Source organism: Homo sapiens, chromosome 21 (assembly GCF_000001405.40).
Source record: "Homo sapiens chromosome 21, GRCh38.p14 Primary Assembly".
Taxonomy (NCBI): Eukaryota; Metazoa; Chordata; class Mammalia; order Primates; family Hominidae; genus Homo; species Homo sapiens.
This window is the reverse complement of record NC_000021.9, coordinates 43,784,591-43,805,454: the sequence shown is the minus strand read 5'-3', so window position 1 is coordinate 43,805,454 and position 20,864 is coordinate 43,784,591. Positions and strand designations below refer to the sequence as shown.

At 56.0% G+C, this 20,864-nt stretch overlaps 1 protein-coding gene across 2 annotated transcripts, besides 9 other annotated features; it reads right to left on the bottom strand.

Annotated features, from left to right (window-relative positions):
- Positions 41–270: an enhancer, noted in NCBI's record as "active region_18549". NCBI's record gives its function as "activates an Ori minimal core promoter by ATAC-STARR-seq in GM12878 lymphoblastoid cells {active_cell/tissue: GM12878}" and the evidence as "EXISTENCE:reporter gene assay evidence [ECO:0000049][PMID:35858748]".
- RRP1 (ribosomal RNA processing 1) lies at positions 162–15,878 on the bottom strand. Of its 2 annotated transcripts, none has more exons than NM_003683.6 (13): positions 15,693–15,878; positions 14,023–14,105; positions 12,726–12,783; positions 12,051–12,136; positions 10,205–10,266; positions 7,904–8,033; positions 7,760–7,824; positions 7,355–7,548; positions 5,806–5,885; positions 4,841–4,938; positions 4,574–4,593; positions 3,068–3,181; positions 162–1,943 (listed from the first exon to the last, which is right to left on the bottom strand). In NM_003683.6, the coding sequence occupies exons 1-13, from the start codon at positions 15,823–15,825 to the stop codon at positions 1,681–1,683; spliced, it is 1,386 nt and encodes a 461-aa protein (NP_003674.1). In that variant the 5' UTR covers positions 15,826–15,878; the 3' UTR covers positions 162–1,680. The 2 variants fall into 2 exon arrangements, with proteins under 2 accessions (NP_003674.1, XP_016883974.1); XM_017028485.3 differs by lacking the exon at positions 162–1,943 and adding an exon at positions 1,950–2,134.
- Positions 10,846–11,497: an enhancer, noted in NCBI's record as "H3K4me1 hESC enhancer chr21:45213839-45214490 (GRCh37/hg19 assembly coordinates)". NCBI's record gives its function as "activates a minimal SCP1, AML or CMV promoter by ChIP-STARR-seq in naive H9 embryonic stem cells {active_cell/tissue: H9 hESC(naive)}" and the evidence as "EXISTENCE:reporter gene assay evidence [ECO:0000049][PMID:30033119]".
- Positions 11,500–11,999: an enhancer, noted in NCBI's record as "H3K4me1 hESC enhancer chr21:45213337-45213836 (GRCh37/hg19 assembly coordinates)". NCBI's record gives its function as "activates a minimal SCP1, AML or CMV promoter by ChIP-STARR-seq in naive H9 embryonic stem cells {active_cell/tissue: H9 hESC(naive)}" and the evidence as "EXISTENCE:reporter gene assay evidence [ECO:0000049][PMID:30033119]".
- Positions 13,316–13,528: a silencer, noted in NCBI's record as "fragment chr21:45211808-45212020 (GRCh37/hg19 assembly coordinates)". NCBI's record gives its function as "represses an EF-1alpha promoter that drives an FKBP-Casp9 reporter gene in an ReSE screen in K562 erythroleukemia cells {active_cell/tissue: K562}" and the evidence as "EXISTENCE:reporter gene assay evidence [ECO:0000049][PMID:32094911]".
- Positions 15,468–15,637: a silencer, noted in NCBI's record as "silent region_13370". NCBI's record gives its function as "represses an Ori minimal core promoter by ATAC-STARR-seq in GM12878 lymphoblastoid cells {active_cell/tissue: GM12878}" and the evidence as "EXISTENCE:reporter gene assay evidence [ECO:0000049][PMID:35858748]".
- Positions 15,708–15,817: an enhancer, noted in NCBI's record as "active region_18548". NCBI's record gives its function as "activates an Ori minimal core promoter by ATAC-STARR-seq in GM12878 lymphoblastoid cells {active_cell/tissue: GM12878}" and the evidence as "EXISTENCE:reporter gene assay evidence [ECO:0000049][PMID:35858748]".
- Positions 15,848–16,077: a silencer, noted in NCBI's record as "silent region_13369". NCBI's record gives its function as "represses an Ori minimal core promoter by ATAC-STARR-seq in GM12878 lymphoblastoid cells {active_cell/tissue: GM12878}" and the evidence as "EXISTENCE:reporter gene assay evidence [ECO:0000049][PMID:35858748]".
- Positions 17,973–18,513: an enhancer, noted in NCBI's record as "H3K4me1 hESC enhancer chr21:45206823-45207363 (GRCh37/hg19 assembly coordinates)". NCBI's record gives its function as "activates a minimal SCP1, AML or CMV promoter by ChIP-STARR-seq in naive and primed H9 embryonic stem cells {active_cell/tissue: H9 hESC(naive and primed)}" and the evidence as "EXISTENCE:reporter gene assay evidence [ECO:0000049][PMID:30033119]".
- Positions 18,514–19,055: an enhancer, noted in NCBI's record as "H3K4me1 hESC enhancer chr21:45206281-45206822 (GRCh37/hg19 assembly coordinates)". NCBI's record gives its function as "activates a minimal SCP1, AML or CMV promoter by ChIP-STARR-seq in naive H9 embryonic stem cells {active_cell/tissue: H9 hESC(naive)}" and the evidence as "EXISTENCE:reporter gene assay evidence [ECO:0000049][PMID:30033119]".

Sequence of the window (20,864 nt, the reverse complement as noted above, 5' to 3'; positions counted from 1 at the left end):
TGCACCCCGTTCCCTTCCAAAGGCCTCCAACTGCAGGGGCTCGTCCCAACAGGCCCTGCTGGGGGTAAAGAGGCCAGGCCCAGGGGAACACTGACCAGGCCCAGGGGACACTGCCCAGACCTGACGCTCGCCACCGGCAGTTTACGTTAGACACGCTTGTCTTTTTTTTTTTTTTTTTGAAACAGAGTTTCCCTCTCGTTGCCCAGGCTGGAGTGCAATGGCGTGATCTTAGCTCACCACAACCTCTGCCTCCCAGGTTCAAGCAATTCTCCTGCCTCAGCCTCCCGAGTAGCTGGGATTACAGGCATGTGCCACCACGCCTGGCTAATTTTGTATTTTAGTAGAGATGGGGTTTCTCCATGTTGGTCAGTCTGGTCTCAAACTCCTGACCTCAGGTGATCTGGCCACCTCGGCCTCCCAAAGTGCTGGGATTACAGGTGTGAGCCACTGTGCCTGGCCACGCTTGTCTTTTTAAGTTCCTTTGGGGAAAGAACCCTAACCCCTAGAACAGGGGCCCTGGCCTTCCCTCTCCTTGGCCCCTAACTGTGCCCTAAGCCTGCCCCGGCCGCCCAGCTGAGTGGGACTGAAGGAGGTGTCACCAGGTGCCACCTGCCCGGGGTTGGGGGACACTCGAATGCAGCAGGGCTTTGGGGAACCGGATGCAGTCCAGGGTCTGCACAAGGCCAGCCACAGCCTAGAGGTCCTTCCTGGTCCCAGGCCCACTCCAAGCCCTGGCCTCTCGCTGGATCCCACACGGCCTGGCTGGCTGGGCACCCATGGAACAGAAGATGCGGGCAAAACCCAACGCAGCGGCCCCTTGTCACCTATGCAGGCTGTGGCCACAGCGCTGGCGGCAGACAGGCCCTTGTTCCATGCAGGTGGAAAGCCCTGGGCTACTGTCAGCTCTCCGTCGCCACAGTGGGGACCCGCCACCTCCCTCACAGGCTCCAGCAGGTGTGAAGGGGAGAGGGGCAGGGAGGACGCTGAGGGTGACCTGGCTGAGGGAAAGAGGTGCGCAGCCTGCGGACCCGCGGGTACCCAGGATGGCGGGGCGCTCCTGCCTCCAGGAACAAGGCTCTCGCGGAAGCCAGGTCTTCCCACCACACACACGCTCACCCCGGGCAATCCAGGCCTTACTGGAGCTGAATTCCTTGCACAACTCTAGACCCCAGATTGAGGGGGAAGCAAAAGAGCCCCGTCCAGACAGCCCTGTTAACACCTGGGCAGTTCTGTGAAAGGAGAAATGTCTTGCAAGATTTTTCCACAAACATGAATATAAACCACCACACTGCTCGGAGGCTGGCGCCTGCCACCTCCCACACGTCCGTAGGACACACCTGAAGCGACACTTCCCCTGGCAAGGGCTGCGCGGCATTTTATTTTCTGAACCCCCCACAGCAGGGGCGGCCAGTCCTGCTGCAGGCAGAGTTTCAGTCTTCGGAGTTTGACCTTCTGGCCCAAGGTCATCACAGCCACAGGCGGAGGCTCTGGGGAAAGGTCCAGTTCCTGGGATGCTGGCCCCTAATGATGGGCCCATCTCTCCAGTGCCGCCCTTCCCTCCCGCCTGGCACAGGAGTTCTGGAGCCACGGTCCTGAGTCTACAGAACAGCCCGGTCAGCCTCGTCCCGCGGTGCAAGCGAGGCCTGGCCTCCCTCCCTGCCTGTCCTTGGCCCGGCCACATCACTCCCTGCGTTTCTTCTTCTTCTCCGGCTCCTGGACATTGGCCGCCTTTGCTCGGGCACTGGTCAGGGGCCGAGGTGTCCTCCTTCTCTGGCGAGCCCCTCTCTGGCCACGGCCCCTGGGCTGATCTCGGAGCAGGGCCCGCTCAGCTGTGCCTGGCTGCTCACCAGCCTCTGCCCGCGCCTCGGGGTCGGCCCCTACACCCCTCCTCCTGCTCCTCTTCCTCTCCATGCCCGGGCTCGGGGGCTCCTTCTCACCTTTCCCTGACAAAACAGCAAGACCCCATGAGCCAGAGAATGCCAACACGGGCTCTTTCCACTTACTCCAACTCAGGCTGAGGATGCCAGCACCACAGACCTGGGAGGACAACACGGCCACAACAGCCAGCCAGACGCATCCCGTGTCCAGTGTGGGCGCCAAGCTCCATCCACACGGCTCAGGACCTCAGCAAGGGCTGACCTCAGAAGGACCAGCGTGAGGACAGGGTCATGAGACCCAGGAGCAAAGGCACAGAGGAGTAGGCAGGACTGGGCTCAAGGCAGAAGGGGAGGTGGAAGAACAGGACGCCAGGCAGTGCCAGGTCCTGAACGCCAGGGCCGACAGGGTTCACACAGCCAAGGGCCGGCTACAAAGAGGAGGCCACTGCCTCATGGGAAATGAGATGGACGGCTTCAATGGCACGGAGCTCTGGGCAAGGGAAGGGGTGAATCCCTAGGCCCTGGGGCCAGTTTAGCATGGAGAGAGTAACAGGGAAGGCTTCCCAGTGTGGGGCAAAGCCACCATGTGCCTCCTCTGCACCCCATTCTTGCCATGGGCCCCCTGCCCTGCCCGGCACTGTGCTCAACCCCCTCCACTGCAGGTAGGCAGCTCCAGGCCCTGAGTGGTCTGCCGCGGACCCAGGGTTGCCCCTGGTGAGGGCATCACATGCCAACCACACTCGTGTGGCCAGAGGCCCAACACGGAAGGCAGCCCCAGAAATCAAGGACAGAAGTGGAGGGAAGAAGTGGAGGGAAGAAGGGGAAGGAAGACGTGGAGAGACTCAGGAATCTCTGGAGGGTGCGGGAGAGGAGCGGACGGGGCTTGGATCTAAGACGGAGGCACGGAAGGAGGCAGCCCAGCCAGGAGGATGTCTCCAGACCGGGAGGGAGGGCAGCGCACACAGCTCGGGGGAGCTGCAGACAAGGAAGGTGGGTGGGGGAGGCAGGGAGAGGCCTACAGGAGGGATGCCGAGGACAGGGCATTTCCGGGATGCGTGGATAGCAGGCACCCAGGATGGGGGACTCGGCACTCATGCTTCAGGGGGAGACACTGCAGGTGACCCCCATCCAGGGGAGAAGCAAGCAGGTGAGGACGCCGGCTCCATGACTAACACACCCCCTAGTCCTACCTCTCTCCTGCTGCAACCTGAGCAGACGCTTCTGCTTCTTCGTCTTCTTCTGCCGCCTCCCTTCAAGCAGGCGCCTGCAGGCCTTCTCTGGGATCTCATCTTCAGGGAAAATGCCTGAGAACCAGGGCAGAAGTCAGGGGGCTCTCGGGGGCTGGGGACTTATGGTTTGAGGCTCGCTGCTTCCAGCAGGCCCCAGCCAGCACCACCTCCTGACAATGTGTGTGAGAAAGCGCCCTGTTCTAATGCCCAGGAGCAGCGTGTTCAGTACCCGCCACAGCTGAAACGAACCAGCTGAGACCCAAGCCCATCTGGAAAAGCCAGTTCCTGGAGCATCCAGGACACAGGTACAGCATAGAGCGTCCACGACCCCAAATGCCTGGGACCAGCAGTGCTTTGAATGTCAGGTTGTTTTGGAACGTCTGCATCATATTCACCAGTTCAACAGCCCTCACCTGAAAACCCCAAACAGAAAACACTGCGACGAGCATTTCCCTGGAGCTTCCTGTCAGCACTCAGCTTTGGACTTGGTGGCATTTTGGATTTGGGGTTTCAGATTAGAGACGCTCAACCTGTACACCAAAGTCTACAGCCTACAATGCTCATGCTGGCGGCCCAAGGCAACTTTCTGCATCAAAACCTGCCAGATGCACACGATCCTCACGCACCTCACTGACGCGCGCTGTCCCGAAAACCCCAGACGACCAGCCGGGCAACACAGCGAAACCCTGTCTCTACAAAAAATACAACAATTAGCCGGCGTGGTGGCGTGCGCCTGTGGTCCCAGCGACTGGGAGGCTGAGGCGGGAGGATCGCTTGAGACCAGGAGATCGAGGCTGCAGTGAGCTGCATCACACCACTGCACGCCATCCTGGGCAACAGAGCGAGACACCGCCTCAAAAAATAAAAAATAAAAAAACCAAACCCTGGACTACAGCTGATGACGCGCCCGCTGGCGGATGCAGGGGTGTGATGCTGGGATAGAGGAGCTTCACGCAAGGACAGGAAGTGCTGATGCTGGAGGCCGGCAGGGACACGCAGACATCCACTATAAAATCCTTCCAACTGAGTTGCAGGTCTGAAACTTTTCATAAGGAAACACCAGGGGAAACGCCTACGTCTCTAACCATCGACGCCCACTAGGAAACCGTCCTTCCGATAACCTATGCCAGTTCCATCCGCCACGCGCTGCCAAGAACAGACGTGTGCTGCCCAACAGACCAGCAGCAGCACCGCGGTCAGTGCTTGGGAGCCCCTGAGGCCAGCACCCCATCTCTCAGGCTCTGGGGCACTCCAATGGACACTCAAGTCTGAGAACCACTCAGCAAAAACCACAAAAACGAGAGCTGTGGAACCCTGCGCCCTGCCTCCCTGTCCCTCAGAAACACCACCAGGCCTCTCTGCAAAGAGACTCCACGTGCTATGAGACCCCTAGAACCAAACCACTCCCACGAGGATGGAGCTCCACCTCCAAGGTGGTGCCACTGTCAGTGCCCGGCCGATCCTCACCTCCTGCCAGGTCCTGCAGCCTGAAAGAGTAAGACAGATACCCACTTACCACAGCTGCGGCTTCCGCAGGAGGAGGAAGCTCCAGCTAGAGCGGCTGCAGGTTCCTAGCCAGGGGAACCCCAGGGGCTGGGGACGGTCTCAGGGTCCTAGCGGGGATCACCCCGGGGGCTGCGGAAGGGCCCAGGACAAGGCAAAGGCACCCAGATCTGAGCAAGAAAGGGCAACTCCAAGGGGAGCAGGGAGGACGCAGCGCCCTCACACACTCACTTCCGGATCACTTTGTAGAGACGCTTTCTGTTCTGAGAAGGGGTGCTCTGGCGGCTGGCCATTTCAAACAGTCTGTTAGCAACTGCCTCGTAGTCAAACTGTTTCAAAAGAGAGACGTCACAGAGGCAAGGTCAGCCACGCTCTGCGTGCTCCGAGAACGTGGAACCCCTGAGACCCAGATAGCACTTGGTCCCACTTGCAGGTTCTCCACCCGGCTCACAGGAACACAGCCCACCCTCACTGAGGGTCCTGCAGCTCCACCCACTCTACAGCACAGCGGGCACCACACAAGCTGCGGGCGCACTGCGGGGCACGCACTGCGGGGCACACTCTGGAAGATGCACACTGCGGGGCACACTGCAGGGCACACGCCCGCCGGTAGCCTGCCTGCAGCTTTACCACTCTAGGAACCACACAGACAAGCACGAACAACATAGGTTAAATTGATCAATTTTAACCCAAGATAGCCACATTTTATTCAGTCTGCAGATAATCATATTTAAAACTTAAAACATTTAAGTTTCCAATTTGCCTGAAGTCAGACCCCACTGGCTGAGTGGATTCCTCGCTGGGACCCACAGGCCAGCCGCTTGGCACATGCCATCTCATTCCCCACCAGCACCCCAACGAGGGGGCCGCAGGAAATCTGGGGGGCTGCCCATGTGTGAGGCAAGAGGACAGCGTGAGGTGAGGCCAGCCCTGGATAATGCAGTTCTGCCTGAGCCCACCCTCCCAGGCCCCAGCCCCACTTTCCCAGGCCCCAGCCCCACTCTCAATGATCCCACTCGTCTACAGGCGGGCAGGGTTGGGGCACCCATCCCTCCTTCAAAGCTAACCCCTGTCCGGGTAACTCTCCATGCCAACAGCTGCCATCCTCCCTCCTAACGCCCCCCTCCTCTTCCAGAGCAAGCGGTAGCACAGAGGGGCAAAGGCTGAGGGCACAGCCATGAGCCCAGGGAACCCACCTGGAGAACGGGGCCGCCACTGTCCCTGTCGTCACCTGCCTGCTCCTCACCAGCCTCAGGTTCAGCCCTGCAGATGGAGCCTGGAACAAAAGGGACCCCGTGAACCCTACCTGTGCCCAACGTGTGCTGGCCCCAAACATCCAGGAATGGAGAGCCCGCTCCGTGCACCCTGGTCGGAGCACGGGCACAGGCGGGAAACACCCGGGAACGGACAGCCCACCCTGCACCCTGGTCAGAACATGGGCACAGGCGGGAAAGCCCACAGCTCAAGGCAGATACTAGGTGCCATGTGACCTCTAATCTCGTATGGACAGGATGAGAGGTGCCACCTCAGGCCTGCAAAGGAAAAAAAGATGTCCCAGGGCACAGGTGCCTACACAGCCCTGAGTGGCTGACTACAAGCTGGCATCTTGGGCAACAAAGGCCATGTCAAAAGTTCTGGAAGTGAGGAGCCTCAGGGTGGCCTGGTCCAGAAGCTGTGGGAGCTGATGTTTCGGCTGGGTGCTCGAGCTAGGCTGGGCATTTGGGGCTTTGATGGCACTGTCTGCAGAAGAAAGGTTTTTGGGCAACAGGCAGCTGTGGGGCAGCATGTGACAAGGGTCTGCTCTGTAGCTGGCAGCAGGGGGCCAGCAGCAGGCACTAGCGGACCTGCCAGGCACCTCAGCTACTGAGAGAGAAGGGCAAGGCAGAGACCAGGGAGAAGCATACAGGGTGGCCGGGCCAAGTGCTGGGGGCGGTGGGGAGGGGGTCTTCTGATTAGGAAGCCAAGGGGAACAGTGGCCACAGCACTGATTTGGGGCATACTGGGGTCCTGAGCGTGGTCAAAGACATGCCCTCCACAGCACCAGGATGCCACACTTAGAGCTCAGACCACCCAGCAGGCTCGGACAATGAGTGCAGCATCAAAACAAAAAATGGGCCAGGCTGGACCCCACGGCTGCCCACAGAGGCCTCTGGCAGGCAGTGAGGGGCAGGTGAGTACACCTGCCCCTCACACACACTGCACACAGAGCAGTCAGGTGCCCTGAGGTCTCAGGCCTGAACCCAGTCATGGTCAATATGGACAGAGCTTGCTGTCCTCTGGGGAGACGGGCCAGGAACGAGGAACACGAGGAGCAAGTGATTCACATCCCGTGCCACAGAGTGACGCTATGGGGAGGACTGCGTTGGGGGCTGGGAGAGGCCAGGAGGCTGAAAGAGTCCAGCCCCAGAGAGTGATGGGGGGAGAGACGGTGGGAGGGACGGAGAGACTCGGCACCAAGGCAGGAACGAGTCTAGGGGGCCAACTGAGCCAGAGGCATGCGTTAGACCGAGGAGCCCAGGGGTCCGGAGAGGGCGTGGAGCACATCAGAGGCTGGGGGATGAGGGGAAACGACGTGTGCTTGGTGCCCACAGAAGTCACTCTGGCTTCTATGCTGAGGATGGACTGTGGAGAGGGGCAGAGACAAGGGGACCAGGTAGGAGGTGGCAGGAGCAACCCAGCAGGAGATCGCACTGGCTCAGCCCAGGACAGGCCCCGAGGAGAAGCCAGGCGCAGTGTGACCCCCACCTGCGGGCGGCTTCTCAGACCTCTTCTGGGACAGCGCGTCTCCACGCTCACCACCCTCAGAGGACTCATCACTGTCCGACGCCACCTCCTCATCCTGTGTGTCCAGTTCATTCAGGAGGTCTTCAATGGCAAGCGGGGCCTGCTCCACAATCGTCTCAAAGATGCCTCGAGTGATGTTGTTCAAAACCAAGGAACTGAGGGGCAGAGCAGAGGCCGGTGAGCAGGCCCGTTATGCTGGATTCCCAAGCGGAAGCCGCCGACTCCCCTGCAACCTCTCCCCACCCACACGGCCAGCGGCCACTCTGAGACAGATTCATCCCTCGAGGGAGCAGCACCCCCACAACAGCAGCCCCATGGAAGAACTCAGTGAAGGAGTCGGGCCCGATCAGGCCACCCACCACTTACTCCTTGGTCCGGGCAGCAATTCTGCAGAAGGGGTCGATGAACTTCAGGTTCTGGTCTGCCGTAAGCTACGGGGAAAGCCAGCGGGAGCTCAGTTCCTCCTCCACAAACGCCCAGCTCCACCGCCCCGTCGGAGCCCAGCCTCACCTCCTCGGCGCCCACTTTGGTCAGCTCCTCCAGGAAGATCTCGATGAAGTGGCTCTTCACACCGTTGGGGGCCTGGCTGCTGGGGTGCAGGATCTCAGTCATCAGCAGCTCTAGCAGCTCCTCGATCTGTCTGAGGAAAGAAAAAGCAAACATGACAGGCAGCCTCGATGAGCCCCAAGACAGCCGTGCCCCCCACTCTCCCATGGTTACACGCTCTGATGGGAACCTAAGTGCGGGCAGGCGCCACTGTCTGCAAACATGCCAGCCTTAAAGTCCACGCAGATGATATCAACGATCCTAGGTCTCCTCCAGCGCAAGGCAGTCTTGCAGTTAGGGAGTTATGTGACCAGCACCACCACCAGAACGTATGGCCTGAGTGTGCATGTCAGCTACAAAATGCAGCACGTGTAAACATTCAGACAGGCCTTCCCTCTGTCCTCAAGATTGCTAGCAGAGAGAAAGGCTTGGCTGAGACGAGACGCCCTGCCTGGTGTTCCTCTCCACTGCCTCCACTGGGTACCGCTGGGGAAGACACGTCAGGACAGCACAGGCAGAGAAAGGAAGGTGGAGGCCCAGAAAGGGGCCGAGGACCATGAGCCACCTGCTGGCTTCCTGGGCCCTGCCGCACGACGCATTCCAACTGTGACGTCCACCAGAGCTCTCCCTGGCAGGCGGGTTTGATGGCATCACAGGCCCTGGATCTGAAGACTAGACAGCCCCAGAGAATAATGTGTAGCACCTACATGCATCTGGACCTCCTGGGGTGCTTAATAACGCAGCTGCCTAACTCAGATCTGTAAACTGTGTGATCCTTAGGAAGCTCCGTAGCAAGGCTGGAGAATCACTCGTGATGGAAAGGAAAAGTGATGCTCTCTAAGGCTCAGGAAAAACGAGACAGAGGCAAGAACAGGTGCTGAGACCAAGAGGAAGACACACAGATGCAAGGGACCGACTTCCCAGGCCAGTGGCAATGGCGTGGATATTAATGACAGCCTGGTTATGCCTGCAGGAGATCCAAGAGGGCGGGAAGAGCGGACCCCACTGTCAGCACTGGGACCGCAGCAGGCATTGGGGGAAGGCACCGAGGTCTTCCACATGATTCCTGTGCTGAATTCTCAGTTACAGGGAGAAAAGTACTCTTGTAATAATATGCCAAAAAAAGTTAACACAAGTAAAATCATCCCTTTAACATTTAATTCAGCTTAAGCCATGAGACCCCTATGGGGTAATCCACAATGCTAAGGCCCAGAATGAATGAGACTCCTGGCATCAGAGTCCTGCCAGGGAATAGAAGAATGAAAATCCCTCCAAACCAGAGGCACCGCTGCCCTAAATGCAAAATCACCCATGCAACTCAAACCTAGAGAAACTCAGCAGCCACAGTTCAATTCCTGCTGATTCTTTAAAAAAAAAAAACAAAAAACCAGAATCTCACTCTATCACCTAGGCTAGAGTGCAGTGGCTCAGTCACAGATCACTGCAGCCTCAAACTCCTGGGCTCAAGAGATCCCCTTAACCCACCATAACCAGCCTGCTAATTCTTTTCTATGCATTTATCTAATTTTTGTACTTTTAGTAGAGACACGGTTTCACCATGGTGGCCAGGATGGTCTCGATCTCTTGACCTTGTGATCTGCCCGCCTCGGCCTCCCAAAGTGCTGGGATTACAGATGTGAGCCACCGCGCCCAGCCAATTTACATATTTTTAGAATTAGGAGCAATTAACATTGCTTACAACTTGGGAGGCCTAGGCAGGCAGATTGTTTGAGCCCAAGAGTTTGAGACAAGCCTGGGCAACAGGACAGAACTCGTCTCTACCAAAAAAAGATACAAAAATTACGTGGGCCTGGTGGTGCACATCTGCAGTCCCAGCCAGTTGGGCGGCTGAGGCAGGAGGATCACTTGAGCCCGGGAGGTCAAGGCTGTAGTTGAGCCAAGATCACGCCACTGCACTCCAGCCTAGGCAACAGTGACACCTATTTCAAAAAAACAAAAAGCATTGCTAATGAAGCGGAACATGCCGTGTTTTTATAAGAAGCTCCTCGGCTGGACACCCTTTCATTAAAAAACTCCCTTCTGACTCCCAGTGAGAACTGGCCTCCAAGCCTGAGGATAAATGGCATCATTTCCACAAACACACAAACTGATTTTTACTTTAAAAACTATCTTCTCTCTAAGCACGATTGGGGGCATGCGTTAATATAAAGGCTGACATCTCCTTATGGCAAAGAATCAAATGACAAACACGACTGCGGTCCCCGAGAACAGCGTCCCCCCAGAGCAGGCCCGCCGCGCACCCACCTTTCTTCCCAGCCTTGCATCTTCAGAACCTTCAAGGACTCGTTCAGGACCATCCGCATGAGCTTTGACACAGAAGGAGGTTGGCATTAGCAGAAGCCCAGCCCTACTTCGCCAGACCACCCATCCCCATGTACCACCATCCGCTGCAGGATAAAGTCATGGCCGTGGTGACCTCTGCCGGCCCCAGCACACAGCCGGCCCCCAGAGCTGCTGACAGACAGACGCTGGAGGACACACCACCAAGCCCTCAGAACCCTGGGCTGAGAACATGCCCTATCCCCGGCTCCAAGGCCCCAGCTGGCAGGAAGCAGGTGCATGGGGGGTCGGGGGTAATAGGGGACAGTCCTACGACTCCAGTCCATAAACCGGGGCTGAAACGGAACAGTCCGATTCATAAGGGAGAACCAGGAAAGAGGCACGGCTACCCCCACGGGCGGTGGAGCCCTCCGCAAAACCAGGTCTGAAACACGGCTGGTCCTCACCAAACCCCCCGCAACGGGCAGAATGTAGCTCACTTCCTCTGCGGTCCACTACACAGCGAAGGCCCTCCCGCCAAGCCTCACCCGTGAATCAACAATGCCATTTCCCTCCATGGGGCTCAACACCCTTCTGCAGTTGTCCCCCCTTTAGGCTACTGACCCAGCATGCCCACACGCCCAGAGTGGGGTCTGAGCTGCAGTCAGTAGCAGCAGAGGACACGCGGACCCCCAGGAGCCCCGATGACAGAGCACAGCCCAGCAGCCCGGACACTGTTCTTGCAGACACAGGAGGCCTATCCCCCACAACACCCTGCGGTGCCACCGAGGCTAGCCCTGACGCAAGGCTGTGCTGCTGGACTCAGCCACACAAGGGGCACCCAGAAACGAGCCATGGAAAGCAGCAGAACGCATCCATCCAGGGACCCAGCAGCCACATCTCAGCAAAACAGTAGGGTGGCCTCCCTGCAGAGCCCCATTGTCCCTAAGAGTCTGCACTCTGTCTGAGTGCATGGCCGGGCCCCTGGCCTGCCCTGGAGCCTCCTTCCTTCTTGAGCTCCAGGCCTTTCCCGCCCTGGTCTCCACTTCTAGAATCACTGGTATATATGCTGTCTGCACAATCCTGGCCCGAATCTGAGCTGGACACTGAAGCCAGAGTGGCAGATCAACATCTGTCCTCAGTGAGACCCGGACATGGCCCCTTTCAGTGTCCCCATTGGGTGACCGACTCCTACACAGTGACAATGTCCCTGTATCTCAGGCCTGCTCTAAGGTTACAATGACCACCACCTTAGTAACGAGACCTCATGGTTCAACAAGAGGGAAGGAGGGAAGGAGAGAAGCAGGTCCGGGCAGCAACACGCTGCACCTCTAAACCCCAGTGTTCCCCTGTATTCTCAGGGCAAATCAGTGCCCTGAACGGGGATACAATGAGGGAGGAGGGAAAGGAAGTCCCACACTGTGACCATCCATCCCAGCCTCGCAGGCTAAGCACTCCAGGGCTCATGCTAGGGCGTGACCGCAGCTCCTCTGCTGCGCCTCCAGACTCACTCTGCCTCTTTGACAAGGTAACAACGGTGTCACCATCGACTCTCACCAGGAGAGCAATCGTCACTTTCCTTCTCTGAACCAAAAGTTTGTGTGGTGTTTTAAGGGTCGAATTCCTTGCCCATTCAATGACCCTCAGAGACTGGACAAAGCTGCAGAGCCCTGGTCAGGGACCGCCCAGAGTCTCGGCTCCACCTCCCACCCCTGGCTTCAGGGTCGCACTGCCTCAGGTTGCCTCCCTGCCCAGGTGCCGCCTGTCTCGCTTGGCCAGGCACTGAGACCCGCGCTGCCCCCGCCCGCCGGCACCCTGGTGGCTGCCTCACCATGTAGAATTTATCCAGGCGCAGCCTGTCAATGCCCGTCCACTCGCGATTCATGGTCTGCCAGAAGGCCTGAAGGAACAGGTGCTCTGGAGAAGGAATAAGCCAGAAGAGAACCACTGAGGAGCACGAAGCCACTCTGGGGAGGGAGGTGAGAACATGGAGGAACCCGTTCTTTACATAGCTATAGATAAAAAATGCTGATGCCCAGGCCCTACCCCCAGAACTGGATCTTGCTGGACCAGGATCTGGACATGAGGATTTTTAGAGGCTCCTCAAGTGAGTCCTACAGACAGGCAGGGTAAGAACTTCTCAACTCCGGTCACCAGAGAACAGAGGAGTCAGAAAAATCAACTGCAGGAACCTCAGGACCATCAGGCGGAATTCAGTCCAATCTCTTGGTGACATTATCCTGGCTTTTCACTTTATTTTTAAAGTGTAAGATATTAGCCCATTAGGCTCGAAATGAGGGTTTTGGGTAAATGAGCTAATCCATGTTGAATACTTACACCAGCACTGCACACATGCTAAGCACCCACAGACACCAGCTGGCGCTCTCTTGCCCTTAGGCATTCCTTACTCTGGATTTGAGAACACAAACCTCCTGGGTCTGGTGGCTCTGATGCTCAGAGGTTCTGACATCTACAAATGCACCCAACTACAGCAGAGCATACTCACGCGCCTCCGTGGTCTGAAAAGCATGAACGAGCTGGGAAATAGTCCTTCCTAATTCTTCCTGTGTAGGAAACAACAAAAACGCCCTCAGCCCCTGAAGCACCAGGCTCTCACAATGACACACACGCAACCACCCACTCACCCACTCACTCACTCACTCATCACAGAGAGTCGGCTTCCAGGGGGTCTCAGCTCAGTGCACTGGAGGTTTCACCCCTGCTCCAAAAGACCCCTCTACAGCCAGGGTCAACAGGCTCTCACACAACCACGGGAGGCCCCTCTAGACAGCTGGGGTCAACAGCCTCTCACACAACCACAGCAGGCACTGCCCTCTTGACAGAGGCTGTGCCCTAAGCCACAGAGTCACGGTTAAAGAGGGACGTGGGAGAGCGGAAGGGAGCCTTGGGACTCACAGCCCCCTAACCATCAGGAGGAAGAGGGCTGCGAGACCCCATAGATCACTGGCTATCTGCCTACATCACCGTGCCAGCCATCGCCCAGAATACTTGCTAAGGGACATTTCACAGCCTCCCCTTGATAATTCAGTGGGCATGGAATATGGCCCAGGAACCTGAACTTAACTAAGTACCCTCACCACCCAGGAGATTTTGAAGGAGAGCACAAAATTCACAATTTGAGAAACAATGTTTGGAAAAGGCTAGCAGGAGACGTCCTTGTCTCAGGAGACTTGAATTCCGCCCCGTGGTTTCCACTATTTCAGCACTTGTTTGCAACCCAGGACAAACACAAAACCCAGTTTTCACCCATGCCAGTGCTGCTGCAGTGCACGGCTCAGTCAATCACATCAACACCTCAGCAAGTGTAAGACTCACCTAACAAAGGCCCAGGCCCACCAGCCGTGCCGAACCAAGCGTCAAGGCTATACGACCTCCCCACGGTCTCTGGCCATATTAAAACTGGGTTGACCAGGCCGGGCGCGGTGGCTCATGCCTGTAATCCCAGCACTTTGGGAGGCCGAGATGGGAGGATCACTTGAGCTCAGGAGTTCGAGACCAGCCTGACCAACATGATGAAACTCTGTCTCTACTAAAAATACAAAAAATTAGCCAGGCATGGTGGCAGGTACCTGTACTCCCAGCTACTTGGGAGGCTGAGGCAGGAAAATTGCTTGAAACCAGAAGGCTGAGGTTGCAGTAAGCCGAGATTGAGCCACTGCACTCCAGCCTGGGCAACAAGAGCGAAACTCCGACTTAAAAAAAAAAGAAAAACTGGGTTGACCAGATGCCCATCCATCCTCCCCCGCTGCTTCTGTACCTGCTCTGCTGCTCCCCCCACTCACCTGGAGGAGTGGCTTGTCCTGCATCCACATGCAATAAAACAGTCCTTTCCACACCTTCAGCAGCTCGTCGTGCGTAAAACCACCTGCATCAAAACAGCAACGGTTGGACCAAATGAATCCCACACCTTCGAGTGCCAGAAAGGAAGCCACAGAAACGTGACTGCCTGAATGAGACCAAAGTCCCACTTACGGTAAAGGCAACTGGGGGGCAGAATCTGGCCCTCCCCTTCAAACAATCCTTCTAACCCAGAACCTGCCGCGCCTGTGGCTATGCGGCTACTCCAGGTAACTGCTACTTCACGCACACAGTAAAACCGACTGAGATCTACAAGGTATCAGGCACCATACTCCATTTTGGAAATTCAAAATTGCGAACCTTGACGGTTTCCTAAGCTGGACAGTGGCCACAAGGTTAATCTGTTGGTGATAATTCATCCAGCATTATACTGAGGGCTTCTGCACTCTCCTGTAATATATCTCAAATACTAAAAGAAGAAAGTGAACTCAGGCATTCAGACTACGAGAGAAACAGAAATTACTGAGGCCAGGTGCGGTGGCTCACGCCTGTACTCCCAGCACTTTGGAATTGAGTGCTGAGGCAGGATCACTTGAGGCCAGGAGTTCAAGACCAGTCTGGGCAACATAGGAAGACCCCAATTTGTACAAAAAATACAAAACTTAGCTGGCCTGGCCGCACGGTGCCAGTAGTCCCAGCTATTGGGGAGGCTGAGATGGGAGGCTCACTTGAGCCTGGGAGGTAGAGGCTGCAGTGAGCTGTAATCGTGCCAATGCACTCCTCCACCACGGATGACAGTGAGGTCTGTCTCACTCAGAAAAATAACAAAAAATTTTAATTTAAAACATTACTCAGTTGACATTCACTGAAGTCCTATGTGTCTGGCAACCTGTTCCTGCAGCAGTGGTTCTCAGGCTGAGTGTGGGGAGCAGAAGCACTTGAACAGCTTCATAAAGCAGATGCCAGTCCTGATTTAGTAGGGCTGGGATCCTAGAACTTGCATTTCTTTCTTTTCTTTTGCGATGGAAATGGAGTCTTGCTATGTTGCCCAGGCTGGACTCCTGGGCCTTTGTGATCCTCCCACATCGACGTGCCAAGTAGCTGGGATTACAGGCTTGGGCCACTGCGCCCGGCATAGAACGTGTATTTCTAACAAATGTCCAGGGGATGCTACTGCTGATGGGGGACCACGCTCGGAGAACCACCTGGTACCATGAACAAGAAGTAGATTCTCGGCCCTCAGAGAGGTACTCTCGAGTGGAAATCGGAAAACAATCCAATAATTAACGCAAAACAGAAAACTGCAAACAGTGGGAAATGCTGCCATGAGGGAAAAATACTGGGTGCCCAAACAGCAGGGCAGCAGGAGTACATGGTCTACTGGAGGGAGGGGACGCCTGAGCTAGGAAAGGGGTTACGGGGCTGGGGAGGAGCGTTCTCGCAGAGGGACCAGAGTCACCGCACCACGAGGGAAAGCGGCGGCGGGGGCCGTGGGCCGGTAACAGCGGGAACAGGCCAGTGGACCCCGCCTGCCCGGCCCGGCCACGTGGAGGTTCCACAGGGCTCGGAGGGCCCCCAGCTCCGGCCGCCGCCGCCCACACCCGCACCAGCCCAGCCGGCCCCCGAGACGCCAGCCGCCCACACCCCCGCCAACCTGCGGCCCGCTGAGTCCTGGCGACGATGTATTTCCGGAGCTTCCTCACCGCCCGGTCCCGGGTCACCTGCTCATTCCCCGCCAGGCGCTGAGCCAGCTGGATCTCAGGCGGGAGCTGCACGCGCGAAACCATGACGCCGACGGCCGAGACCCCCTGTCCCGGAGTCGCCTGGTACCCAGCACACTGAGCACGCGCCTCCTGCGCCCGCCTCCTCCTGGCCCCGGCGCGTGGCGTGACGTCACAGCCCGCGACACCGCCCAGGCGCACGCCACCGCCGCGCAGTGGCCGAGCCGCGCAACTGCAGCCCCCGGAGGCCGAAGGCTACAGAGGGGGCGCGCGCTCCCTGCCTGTGCGCATGGGCGGAACCAGCGAGCGCGCGCCTGCGCCTGCGCCTGCGCCTCGCTGGGGCTGCGGTGGGTCGGGATTCTGAGGCAAAGATCTGTTGTTTTTTAATCTCATTTTATTTATAACCCCACTTGTATTTTTTTCCTGAGACAGGGTCTCGCTCTGTTACCCACGCTGGAGTGCAAGGCGCGATCTCGGCTCACTGCAGCCTTTGCCTCGCGGGCTCCAGGGATCCCCCAGCCTCAGCCTCCCGAGGAGCTGGGACCACGGGCGCCACCACTCTCGGCTCGAAACTTTATTTTTAAAACCAGGGGTGTGCCGGGCGCGGTGGCTCACGCCTGTAATTCCAGCACTTTGGGAGGCTGAGGCGGGTGGATCACGAGGTCAGGAGTTTGAGACCAGCCTGACCAACATGGTGAAACCCTGTCTCTACTAAAAATACAAAAATTAGCCAGGCGTAGTGGCGGGCGCTTGTAATCCCAGCTACTCAGGAGGCTGAGGCAGGAGAATTGCTTGAATCCGGGAGGCGGAGGTTGCAGTGAGTCGAGATTGCGCCGCTGCACTCCAGCCTGGGCGACAGAGTGAGACTCTGTCTCAAAAAACAACAACAAAAAAAAAAACGGGGAGGCTGCATTTGGCCTAGGGCCACAGTTTGACATACCCTGAAGTAGAAAAATATTCTTTATTTTTAGAAATAACTGCAGAACTCTTTGGTAAAGGTGACCTGTCATGATGTCTGTAATTCATTCTGCAAAAAAGTAAATCATTACACGCACATATGTGTATGCAGATAAGCAACTATGGCACACTGTTAACAGTTGTGGCGTTGGCCGGGCGCGGTGGCTCACGCCTGTAATCCCAGCACTTTGGGAGGCCGAGGCGGGCGGATCATGAGGTCAGGAGATCGAGACCATCCTGGCTAACACGGTGAAACCCCGTCTCTACTAAAAACACAAAAAATTAGCTGAGCGTGGTGGCGGGCGCCTGTAGTCCCAGCTACTCAGGAGGCTGAGGCAGGAGAATGGCGTGAACCCCGGAGGCGGAGCTTGCAGTGAGCCGAGATCGCGCCACTGCACCCCAGCCTGGGTGACAGAGTGAGACTCCGTCTCAAAAAAATACAAGTGTGGCGTCTACAGGCAGGAATACAGGTCTTCATTGACCTATCTTCTGACATTTTCTATGTATGAAATTTTTCATAAAAAGTTGAAAAGGCTGGCAGTGGTGGCTCATGCCTGTAATCCCAACCATCACTTGGGGAGGCCAAAGCAGGTGGATCACCCGAGGTCAGGAGTTCGAGACCATCCTGGCCAACATGGTGAAACCCCATCTCTACTAAAAATACAAAAATTAGCTGGGTGTGGTGGCGAGCACCTGTAATCCCAGCTACTCGGGAGGCTGAGGCAAGAGAATTGCTTGAACACAGGAGGCGGAGGTTGCAGTGAGCCAAGATCCGGCCACTGCACTCCAGCCTGGGCGACAGATTTTGAAACTCTGTCTAAAAAGAAAAAAAAAAGGAAACATTTAGCAACTGGTTTTAGAATCTGAATTAGTTCTTGTTGTTGTTGTTGTTGTTGAGACAGTTTCACTCTGTCGCCCGGGCTGGAGTGCAGTGGCACGATCTTGGCTCACTGCAACCTCCACCTCCAGGATTCAAGCAATTTCTGGCTAATTTTTGTGTTTTTAGTAGAGATGGGGTTTCACCATGTTGGCCAGGCTGATCTCGAACTCCTGACCTCAGGTGATCGGGCTGCCTCGGTCTCCCCAAAGTGCTGGGATTACAGGCGGGAGGCACTGCACCCAGCCAGCCTCTCCTCTTCTTATGAGGACGTCAGTCAGTGTGGACTTAGGCCTGCCTTAATTTAGCATGACCTCATGTTAACTAACCATGTCTGGAAAGACCCGTTTACCAAATTAAGGCCACATTCCGAGGTTCCAGCGGACATGACTTTCCGGGGGACAAGCACGAATGAGAAGAGGCCCTGCACTCACACAGTGGGTATGTCGCACGCACACACTGGGTATGTCACGCACAGTGGGCATGTTGCACGCACACAGTGGGCATGTCAGGCGCACAGTGGGTATGTCGCACGCACACAGTGGGTATGTTGCACGCACGCAATGGGCATGTCAGGTGCACAATGGGCATGTCAGGCGCACAGTGGGTATGTCTCGCACACAGTGGGTATGTCGCATGCACACAGTGTCAGGCACACAGTGGGTATGTTGCACGCACACAGTGGGTGTGTCGCGCACAATGGGCGTGTCAGATGCACAGTGGGTATGTCGCGCACAGTGGGTATGTCAGGTGCACAGTGGGTATGTGGCACGCACACAGTGGGCATGTCAGACGCACAGTGGGCATGTCACGCGCACAGTGGGCATGTCGCACACACACAGTGGGCATGTCAGGCGCACAATGAGCATGTCAGGCGCACAGTGGGTATGTCGCGCACACAGGGTGTGTCATGCGCACAGTGGGTGTGTCGCACGCACAGTGGGTATGTCGCACACACACAATGGGTATTTCACGCGCACAGTGGGTATGTCGCACTCACACAGTGGGTATGTCGCGCGCACAGTGGGTATGTCAGGTGCACAGTGGGTATGTCGCATGCAAACAGTGGGCATGTCGCACGCACACAGCGGGCATGTCAGGTGCACAGTGGGCATGTCGCGCGCACAGTGGGTATGTCGTGCGCACAATGGGTATGTCGCACGCACACAGTGGGTATGTTGCACGCACATAGTGGGCATGTCAGGCGCACAATGGGCATGTCAGGTGTACAGTGGGTATGTCATGCAAACAGTTGGTATGTTGCACACAGTGGGTATGTCGCATGCACACAGTGGGTGGTATCGTGCATGCAATGGGCATGTCAGGCTCACAGTGGGTATGTCAGGTGCACAGTGGGTATGTCTCGCACATAGTGGGTATATCAGGCACATAGCGGGTATGTCACACCCAGCTGCTGAGAACAGGGTGGGAGGGACTAAGCTGTACTAGGAGGGTGAAGTTGTGCACTGGGGAGCACACCTTCACACCAGGCTCGAGATGCCAGGCTTCAGACGGAAAGGACATGGCAGGTGGTCTCTAAAGATATGGAAGACTAAGATTTGGAAATCGAATAAAGTGGCTTTTAAAAAATCTCTTCTCGGGCTGGGCGTGCTGGCTCATGCCTGTAATCCCAGCACTTTGGGAGGCTGAGGTGGGTGGATCACGAGGTCAGGAGATCCAGACCTCATAGGTGAAACCCGTCTCTACTAAAAACACAAAAAATTAGCTGGGTGTGGTGGCGGGCGCCTGTAGTCCCAGCTACTTGGGAGGCTGAGGCAGGAGAATGGCATGAACCTGGGAGGCAGAGCTTGCAGTGAGCCGAGATAGCACCACTGCACTCCAACCTGGGCGACAGAGTGAGACTCCGTCTCAAAAAAAAAAAAATCTCTTCTGCTGGCATGACCTGTTGAAGGCAGAAACAAAAACGCTCTCCAGGGTAACCTCCTCCCCCTTTTTTTTTTGACAGAGTCTTGCTCTGTCACCCAGGCTGGAGTGCAGTAGCGTGATCTCAGCTCACTGCAACCTCCGCCTCCCAGGTTCAAGTGTCTCCTGTGTCAGCCTCTTGAGTAGCTGCAACTACAGGCGCCCACCACCACACCTGGCTAATTTTTGCATATTTAGTAGAGACAGGGTTTCGCCATGTTGCCCGGGCTGGTCTCGAACTCCTGACCTCAAGTGATCAGCCCACCTCAGCCTCCCACAGTGCTGGGATTACAGGCGTGAGCCACCACGCCTGGCCACAGTATAACCCATTTCTGACTGAAAGTCACACTAGGGCTCAGCCTTAAGGAAAACTAAGTTTAAACCTCTTTTTCACTGTATTTTCTCTTTTCCCCCGGGCTAGAGGTGGAGACAAGAAAATATGACCTGGTTTTTAATGAATATTAAAGACCAAAATTTCAAATTTTTAAACGGCCTGAAATGTCCCACTACTTTTATTTTATTTTATTTTATTTATTTTTTTAAGAGACAGAGTTTCACTCTATCTCCCAGGCTGGAATGCAGTGTTGCAATCACAGCTCACTGCAGCCTCGACCTCCAGGGCTCAAGTGATCCTCCCACCCCAGCCTTCTGAATAGCTGGGACCACAGGTGTGCATCACCTCAGCTAGCTAATTTTTTATTTTTTGTAGAGATGGTGTGTTAGTCAGGGTTTTCTAGAAGGACAGAACTAATAGGATATATATATATATATCCTATTTTATATATATATATATATCCTATTTTATATATATATATATATCCTATTTTATATATATATATATATATATATATACACACACACACACACACAAAGGGGAGTTTATTAATTATTAACTCTCACGATCACAAGGTCCCACAGTAGGCTGTTTGCAAGCTGAGGAGCAAGGAGAGCCAGTCTGAGTCCCAAAACTGAAGAACTTGGAGTCCGATGTCCGAGGGCAGGAAGCATCCAGCACGGGAGAAAGATGTAGGCTGGGAGGCTAGGCCAGTCTCGTCTTTTTACATTTTTCTGCCTGCTTTATATTCTAGCCTTGCTGGCAGCTGATTAGATGGTGCCCACCCAGATTAAGGGTGGGTCCGCCTTTCCCAGCCACTGACTCAAATATGAATCTCCTTTGGCAACACCCTCACAGACACACCCAGGATCAGTACTTTGCATCCTTCAGCCCAATCAAGTTGACACTCAGTATGAACCATCACAGATGGGGTCTCATTACCTTGCACAGTCTGATCTTGAACTCCTGGGCTCAAGCGACCCTCCCACTTTGGTCCCCCAAAGTGCTGGGATT

Excerpts from the sequence above, each read along its gene's own strand:
- RRP1 (NM_003683.6), bottom strand. The coding sequence starts at position 15,825 with ATGGTTTCGCGCGTGCAGCTCCCGCCTGAGATCCAGCTGGCTCAGCGC. Across the intron at positions 7,825-7,903 it reads CCAAAGTGGGCGCCGAGGAG|CTTACGGCAGACCAGAACCT; the intron begins GTGAGGCTGGGC and ends CTTTCCCCGTAG. Across the intron at positions 3,182-4,573 it reads GCTGCAGGACCTGGCAGGAG|GCATTTTCCCTGAAGATGAG; the intron begins GTGAGGATCGGC and ends CCTGGTTCTCAG.